Source organism: Homo sapiens, chromosome 15 (assembly GCF_000001405.40).
Source record: "Homo sapiens chromosome 15, GRCh38.p14 Primary Assembly".
Classification (NCBI taxonomy): domain Eukaryota; kingdom Metazoa; phylum Chordata; class Mammalia; order Primates; family Hominidae; genus Homo; species Homo sapiens.
The window spans coordinates 40348799-40357537 of NC_000015.10; the positions used below are offsets into that span (position 1 = coordinate 40348799).

At 53.2% G+C, this 8739-nt stretch overlaps 1 protein-coding gene across 1 annotated transcript, besides 1 other annotated feature; it reads left to right on the forward strand.

Moving 5' to 3' along the window:
- Nucleotides 1-2234: 2234 nt before the first annotated feature.
- On the forward strand, nt 2235-7636 carry PHGR1 (proline, histidine and glycine rich 1). The gene is made up of 4 exons (NM_001145643.2): nt 2235-2264; nt 4434-4469; nt 5547-5554; nt 7275-7636. Exons 2-4 carry the CDS (start codon nt 4460-4462, stop codon nt 7503-7505), a joined length of 249 nt encoding a protein of 82 aa, NP_001139115.1. The 5' UTR covers nt 2235-2264; nt 4434-4459; the 3' UTR covers nt 7506-7636.
- Nucleotides 5606-6131: an enhancer, noted in NCBI's record as "H3K4me1 hESC enhancer chr15:40646605-40647130 (GRCh37/hg19 assembly coordinates)". NCBI's record gives its function as "activates a minimal SCP1, AML or CMV promoter by ChIP-STARR-seq in primed H9 embryonic stem cells {active_cell/tissue: H9 hESC(primed)}" and the evidence as "EXISTENCE:reporter gene assay evidence [ECO:0000049][PMID:30033119]".
- Nucleotides 7637-8739: the final 1103 nt, after the last annotated feature.

Sequence of the window (8739 nt, forward strand, 5' to 3'; positions counted from 1 at the left end):
CCCTGCTATAGATCGTCTCCCATGTGCCACCACACCGTGGGTGCCCTCCTCACTTCTCACAGGCCTCTGGGCCCACTCGGGGTTCAGAGGCTGCCCTGTCTTCTCAGTCCACCCCATCAAGGCAGGGCCTACTGCCACCACCCAAGGCCTCACTACTCTGCCTGACTGCTGCTGTAGTGGGTTCTGTGATTGGCACCCACTGGAGCTCAGACCTTGATTCCCGAGATGGAGAACTTAGGCCTCAAGCCTGGAACCCAGAGCACTGGGCCCCCATGCATTCCTCTCAGCCCCTGCTTTCCTCCTGGGGCTTTGTGAAGACACAGGCCTCTCTTTCAGCTTCCTGCCAAAGGCTGGGGACAGAGGTGGAGAGGTTGCGGTGTCAAGATCCCTGAAGGGTAAAAGGAAGCAGAGTAGGGCTTAGAGGGCTGGTGAGGGCGGTGAGCACAGTGAGCAGTGGATGCAGTTGGTAACATTCACACAGTTTGGGCCGGAGCCTGGCAGGCACCATACCTTTGTAAACCTCCCCTGGGACTTCTGCCCCTCCCCAGTAGGCCGCCCTGTCCTGGTTCCCCATAGACCCACAGCAAATGTGTGCAGAAGGGACCAATAGCCTCCCACCTAGTCATAAACCAAAGTCCTTTGACCAACAATGTTAGCAAAGCAGGCTGGAATTTTTCAGAAGAGCATTCCTAAAAGGAGAGATTACCTAAGGTGAAGAAAGGGCCCGGGCTCTAGACTCAAATAGTCCCCAGTTGGGACTAACTACACACTTGGTGGGCGACCTCAAGCAGATTTCTTAATGTCTCTGAACGCTGGCAATGTTTTAATCTATAAAAGAGGGGAAGATCATAACCATTACCTCCAAGAGCTGATATGAGATAACTGATACTGTAAGAGAAACTGGCACACAAACACTTTCCTGCCCACCGTGGAGATAAAGGAGGATCACTCTTTTCCTCCTCTCCATTTTCCAAATTGTATCCTGATGGTGGTTACGTTACTGCTCTAATTGAGGGGATATAAAGGTGACTAAGAAAGCCACCACAGGCCGGGTGTGGTGGCTCATGCCTGTAATCCCAACACTTTGGGAGGTCGAGGTGGGTGGATCACCTGAGGTTAGGAGTTTGAGACTAGCTTGGCTAACATGGTGAAACCCTGTCTCTACTAAAAATACAAAAGTTAGCCAGGAGTGGTGGCGGGCGCCTGTAATTCCAGCTCCTCGGATGGCTGAGGCAGGAGAATCACTTGAACCCAGGATGCAGAGGTTGCAGTGAGCTGACATCGTGCGACTGCACTCCAGCCTGGGTGACACAGAGAGACTCCGTCTCAGAAAGAAAAGAAAGAGAGAAAGAGAGAGAGGAGGAGGAGGAGGAGGAGGGAAGGAGGGAAGGAAGGAAGCCACAACAGCCCCTGCCTCTGAGGAGCACAGAGTCCCCACTGGGATCAAGAGACATCAGGAGCAAGGATCCAGGGAGACAGGAGAGCTGAGCAAGGGCACTGGCTCTGTCTGCAGGGGACTAAGGAAGGCCACCATGGCTAGAGCACGCCAAGCAAGAGGTTGTGGCAGGCATCAGAGGCCACAGGGGTCAGTGGGGACCGGACCACAAGGGGCTTTCGGAGTGCAGAGCAAGCTGGCAGGCTGGGCTCCCTCCCCGCCTGCCTAGATCCATCCCAAAAGTTCCCTTTTCTGTGTCTAATTTCCATTCTCAGGCTAGCTCCCTGGGCTGGGCAGCACATCTGACAATTCAGGCCTGGGGCTTGGCGCCCAGGGCAAATATTCCACCAGGTCCTCCACTATGGTCACTATTTATTCCTCCACCTGCTGAAAGGAGGTAATCATCCTATCTATCTTGTGGGACTCATTGGGTTACTAATGTGTGTGAAGCACCGCATGCCTGGCCTGGCATTCAGTAGGAACTCTACAAATGTTCAGAGCCAGTCCCTGGTGTAAACAGCCTTGCCAGTGTTGGGGACTTCTGCCTGGATTCTGTGGCATCTCGTTACCACACCAATCTGGTAACGGCTTGTTCCCCAGCCTCCCCATCACACACACACACACACACACACACACACACACACACACATCCTGCTTTCAACTGTCCTTTGCCCAGATAAGGATTAGCCCATCCCTCTTCATTCCCTCGAGCCTTCTGCATCTGGCCCTCCCAGTGCACCTGTTCAATCCCAGCCCCTCCCTGACCTGTACAAATACACCTGAGGACAGACAGTGCCCCAGACTTCCTGCCCCTGCTCTGCACTCTCAGGTAGGGACCTGGCTCTACTTGCTGTTGGCTGGGGACAGTAGGGTCTCTGTGGGGTATGTTGTGTGTGCATGTGGTCAGGGTCTCTCTGGGTGTGTATATGCATTGAATTGGTATCCGTGCTTCCGTGTCTCTGCATGAGGGTGTGTGTCTGTCCATTTGCACTGTCCCCACTCCTGGGCTGGGCCCCTACACTTCCACTGTCTTCTTCAGTTATGATTTATAGCCTTTGCCATGCCAGGCAGCAGGGCTTAGCTGAGAGTGGAAGAAATTGCATGAGGTCCCTTCCAGAGCTGCCAACTCCTGTCCCTCAAACACCTGGGCCTGAACTGGGGAGATACATTCTGAGGATTGTCTTTTCTCTTTCGTCTTACCCGATCCTGACTGGCCCTGAGGTTTTCTTTACCTCTCCTCCCCGCAAAGCCCAGCCCCATAGGTCTCTTCCAGCTTTATCACTCACTAAGGGAAAGGACGAGGGAGCACGAAGGACCATGGGTATAGTTCACAGGCTGACCTCAGCTGAACACTTTGAGTACAAGTAGAGGCCAGTGAAAATGGGTAGCTCAAGAGGTGCAGGGGGCCGGGTGCAGTGGCTCATGCCTGAAATCCAGCACTTTGGGAGGCTAAGGTGAGAGGATCACTTGAGCCTAGGCTACATAGTGAGACCTTGTCTCTACAAAACAATTTTTTTTTTTGAGACAGAGTCTTACTCTGTCACCCAGGCTGGAGTGCAGTGCTGCAATCTCGGCTCACTGCAGCCTCTGCCTCCCGGGTTCAAGCGATTCTTCTGTCTCAGCCTCCCAAGTAGCTGGGACTACAGGTTCCCGCCACCATGCCCAGCTAATTTTTGTATTTTTAGTAGAGACGGGGTTTCACCATATTGGACAGGCTGGTCTCGAACTCCTGACCTCAAATGATCCACCCATCTAGGCCTCCCAAAGTGCTGGGATTACAGGCATGAGCCGCTGTGCCCAGCCAAAAAAAATTTTTTTAATTAGCTGGGTGTGGTGGCACATACCTATAGTCCCAGCTACTCCAGAGGTTAAGGTGGGAGGATTGCTTGAACCCTGGAGGTCGAGGCTTCAGTGAGCTGTGATCACGCCACTGCACTCCAGCCTGTATGACAAAGTGAGACTGTCTCAAAAAAACTTTTAAAGAGGCACTAAGGCTCCCTAGAAAAAAAAGAGGTTCAGGGGGCTGTGTCTTGCAAGAGGCTAGGGTTGTTGTATTGGGGGCGCTGTTTGTTTTTGTATGCTCAGCAAACTTGTAAGTACCAGAAAGCCCTGATGTCAAGTATTTGCTCCTGACGTCACATACTACACTCCCATTTGAGGGTTGAAAAAAAATGAATGTACTGTATGTTCACTGGGCCCATTCTGGGGTTGTCCATTGTGACTTGCCAGCCCCAAGCAAGACATGGCCAGCCTTGGCACCACGTTACCTCAGCAGCTCCATCTCATGACAGCACGGCTTGTTGGTGAATGACAAGTTGGCTCAGACTCCAAGCTCCCACCCCCTTCCAATCCTGGTGGGAGGAGACAGGTACAAGCAGCTAGGACCCCATGGAAGGCTTTCCATTCACTTGAGCCCCAGGGCAAAAATCCATTCACTTGTGCCCTCAGGGGCCACCAACCCCATTCCTGTCCTAGCAAACCATCCTTCCCGTCCCTGCACTGGGCACACTGATAGCTCCAAGCTTCCTGCTCCCATGCCATGCCAGATGTTTACACAAGACAAGAGTCTGTAGGGACAAGCATACCATGACCTGGCACAGGGCAGACACACAACATGAATAATTAGCAAATGAACGGATATTGAAATCTTCCCAAGAGGAATCGGATTAACACACAATTGTTGAGTCTAGGGGGGCAAGTGTAAGAGTATGGGGTGTAGGGGCTGGTACATGGTGCTGTTGTGTCTCCATCTACCCACCATGTAGGTGAACCCGCTGTGTCCATTTAACCCCCATGCCTGGCACCTACAGTGCCAGCTCTATATTGGGGCCAAGCTAAGCCGGAGGGAGCAGTTTTTTCCCTTTCTTCCTTTGAAGGGTGTGTGTGTGTGTGTGTGTGTGTGTGTGTGTGTGTGCGCGCGCGCGCGCATCCGTGGGAGGGAGAAAGGAAAGACTGCAATTTAGATTACAGTAAATTAAAAGTTACCTTTTGAACACAGGTATTCCCTGCTCTTACTCCAAAAAGATGGACCCAGGTAAGCACTGTGGCTGAGAGGCTGGGAATTGGAAGAAGGGAGAGAGCAGGAGAGCGGTAAAGGCAGGGACTATCAGTCAGCCATAACTAGTGCGTGCCAAAAATGTACGTGCGTGTGTGTTTGTATGAAGGCAGTGGTAGGGGTCCACAATGAAGACAAGCCCTTACATACTGTAGAACATGTTACAGTTTAAAAAGCATGCTTACTCATCATGTTCTTAGGTGCTTCTAAGGGTAGGTGCTTCTCCCACCGCACACTCAAGGCCCAGGGGAGCTAGGGGTTATGCTCAGGGAAAGGCCATAGAGGTGCAGCTGGGTCGGAATCCAGAATCCAGTTCTTGGGAGCTGTGCCATCGGCTTCCCTCGAAATGAACAAAAGACCGTCCTAGCCTTTAAGAAGTAGCAGGTGATTCCCACACCAATGGGGCACTTCAGAACATGCAGGACCACTCAGGTGGGTGCTGCAGGAGCCCAGTGGACCCACAGCTGGGCAGCCTGGATGGCTCCCATGTGGATTTCCTGCATGAGGGCAACACGCAGCTGCTCCAGGGAGATTTCCAAGTGGGAGGAGGCATGAGCAAAGGCCAAGAGCTGAGAACAGAAGGTCATAAACAGGAGACAACAAACAGCTCTGAGAGGCTGAGCAGAGATTGGGCCGAGATACGTGGGGCGTGACAGGGGCAGAGGACAGATGGGGAGGTTGGCAGGGCTGCTGGCCTGGAGGTAGAAGCAAGAATCAGGTGGATGACAGGGTTGGCCACCATGGAGCACCTCCAGGCTGACAGAGTTGAGACAAGAACCCATACCTCCTAACTGGCGCCACTCCACCCAGGAGGACTCAGCCAGCCCTTGAGCACACAGGGACACACTGCTGAACCTTATATTGACTTCCAATATGTATCTTTGCTGAGAGAATGAATGAAGGAATGATTGTCAGGCAAGTGACCATGTCTGAGAGGCCCTGTTGGGTTAGGGGTGTGGGCACAAAATCCTTAGTGCCAGGGAGAAGACAGGTTTTTTTTTACTGCAGAACCAAATGACCAAAGCTGCTTCTTTTTTTTCCCTTCCTCTCCCACAGGTCCGAAGGTAGGAAAGTTCCCCCAATGGTCTCCCCTTTTTCCTCCCACTGTCATGTCCTCCAGACCCCTAGCCTCCTTCCTAGACCCTCAGGGAGCAGCCACCACTTCCCCCAAATGAAAAGAAGGGAGCAGGCTCAGGCAGCAGCCCCGTGGAGTGGGGGTGGGGTGGGCAGCGCTGCACTCCTCCACCCCCTGCTGGCTGCAGCCTTCTTGGCGTTCTCTCCTCTGTTTTCCCATCTGTCTCTCTCCTTTCCTCACGTCCCCTCCCTGCCCTAGCAGCCCATCCTCTCTCCTGCTGCTTCCCCGCCTGTGCTATGCTTTTCTGCTTTCCTGGCTACCCCCACAGCCTTGCTGGATAGCTGGCTTGCTCCCAAACTCCAACCACACTATGGGGCCCCTAGGACCTACTCCTGCCAGAGAAAGGAGACTGCGTCTCCTCCACCTCTTCTCACCCACTGGCTACCACCAGCAGACTCAGTTCCTAGGCCTGGTCTGTGTGCCAACCCCCAAACAAAAGAGCCATAGGCAGAGAGGCAGGTGGGGTGGGAAGTGGCTGTTTCCAGGCATCACTGAGCCTGGATGGGGCAGGGGCTGCTCTACCATGGTCACAGGAAAGCGCCCAGCCCTGGAGCCTGCCTCTTCCCCACTGGTACCAAGCCCTAATCAAGCCCTAGGAGGCAGAAGGAGACTGGGGAGTTATCCAGCCCAGACAGTGGGAGCATAGCCCCGCCCTGCTCCACAGGGCCCCAGACCCCGAGTCCCCTACCACAGAAGCAAGGTGGTATCTCTTGCCTGCCCCCTGGGCTTGTGGCAAAAAGTTAAAAAAACAAAAAAAAAACAAAAAACTCCCCTGGCCTTGGGACTTCAGGAATGATTCCAGCCAAGATGGAAGGTTAAACCACACTTTTTCCAGACCTCTTCTGACTGAGGCAGAAAAGCTTTGATTTTACTTTCTATTCTTCCTGATTTCTTGGGTCTGGCATCCGCTCAGGAACAGGTATGAGCTCGCACATACTCATGTACACAGAACCATGCACTCCATGCACGTATCTGTGTACATACCAAGCTTGAATATGAACCCACCCATGCACACGTACACAAACATAGCTATTTTATATAAATATGGCACACACCGTCTACACACATACACACTACCTATAAAAAGAATACATACATCCTCACCTTGCCACCTCCTACCCTCCGTGTCTTCTCATCCTCCAACTGTCTTCCTTCTTCCCCTCCTCAGCTCTTTCATCTCCCCTGACCCAGCCTCCTGTCTCCCCCTGCCCCTGGCCTTCAAAGAGCTCTTCTGTAGCCTCCTCTAGCCTCACCCTTGCTCCTAAGTACAATGAGCCTGCAGTTCCTAGCATGGCAAAGCCTCTAATCACTCTGCAAGGGTTCCTGGGTGAGAGAAAGGAGAAGATGAAATAATTCTGCTTCTTAGTTGCAAATAAAATAAATCGAGGTACAGGGAGCGGGAGTCATATCTTGGCTCAAAGAATAGAAACCAATAAATCTAGGTTGCTTGCCTTTTATCTGCTCAGTGTTCTGGCCTCACCAAGGCAAAAGGCACGGGACATGCTACCCATGCCCCCAGCCCTCCACCGCAACTCCTTACTTGCCTAGAAATCCTGAGTCCCCCAGGGAAGTGGAGTGAGGGAGAGCTGATCTCAGGTAAGCTTAGCCCTGACCTCTGACTCTGACATTGTTCATTTGACTTTCCACAGGGGCACTGCCACTGTGGGGGGCATGGCCATCCTCCAGGTCACTGCGGGCCACCCCCTGGCCATGGCCCAGGGCCCTGCGGGCCACCCCCCCACCATGGTCCAGGGCCCTGCGGGCCACCCCCTGGCCATGGCCCAGGGCCCTGCGGGCCACCCCCCCACCATGGTCCAGGGCCCTGCGGGCCTCCCCCTGGCCATGGCCCAGGTCACCCACCCCCTGGTCCACATCACTGAGGAAGTAGAAGAAAACAGGACACAAGATGGCAAGCCTGAGAGAATTGCCCAGCTGACCTGGAATGAGGCCTAAACCACAATCTTCTCTTCCTAATAAACAGCCTCCTAGAGGCCACATTCTATTCTTTAAAGAGCCTGTCTTCCTTCATATCCAACCTGGCTGTCAGAGGACCCAGTTGTCTCCAAGCTCCCTAGTTGTGAAGATGGGGCAACCATCCTGGCATTCTCAGAAGCTTAATGCCATGGTGCTCACTATAAATGGCTGTGTAAGGTCACCTCTCCTTTCCTTTTCACTCCTGTGCCCTCCCATCGAGGAACTTCAAGTGTGGCCTCATTACCTCTATGCCATCCTGTACATCCAGATCTGGTGGGCCTTCCAAGGTTGCAGCTTGCATGCCTCACTCTACAGACCAGAAGCCTCCCTCCAATCCAGATGGTTTCTCACCATTCCCTTAAAATACACTGAACTTTCCAGCCCCCTTACCTTTGTTTGCACAGGTAAGGAAGAATGCCCCCACCCCAGGTCAGGAAGGCCTTCCCTCTCTCCTACCTCCACATTTCAAAGCCCACCCTTTCTTCCAAGCCAGCTGAAGCCCCACCATCTCCAAGAAGCCTTCTCTAAGGCCTATTAGGAAGAAAGAGGTCCTTCCTTTTTGCATACTGTCCCCTTCTCAACCACCTCATGGGCCTCACCATATCTTGCCTATTGGCAGCAATTTATGGGCTGGCCCTTTATCTCTCCAACCAAACTATAAGCTATTCAGGGCAGACCCAACACTTCTACACCTCTAGATTCTTCCACCCCATTTCTTATGACCTGTGTCTTACACGGACTGGCATTGGCACACATTTTAGGGATACCTATAGTCCAAGTGTTCCTGACTCTCTCCTCAGCCCCATGTCTTCAACCAAGGCCTCTCCCTGCACAAGTAACCAGGCCCTGAACAGCCTGCTTGCTGTAAAACCCTTTCTGCCTAGTCAAATCCCACATCCAGGATCCTCTCCACTCCCAGCCCCCCAGGCTTCTCACACTGCCAATATCTATTCTAGTTCTAGACCCCTTAGCCAGGCCTGTCCACAGTCCATCATACCCAAATGTGCTCTACTCACAGCTACTCCCTGGTGGGGGAGGTGGCACTGGAGTCAGTGGCTATTGGGCACCTCCCAGTGCCCTGGAGTCAGTGGCTATTGGGCACCTCCCAGGCTGAGGTGGGGTGGGGGGGCAGCGGTGACT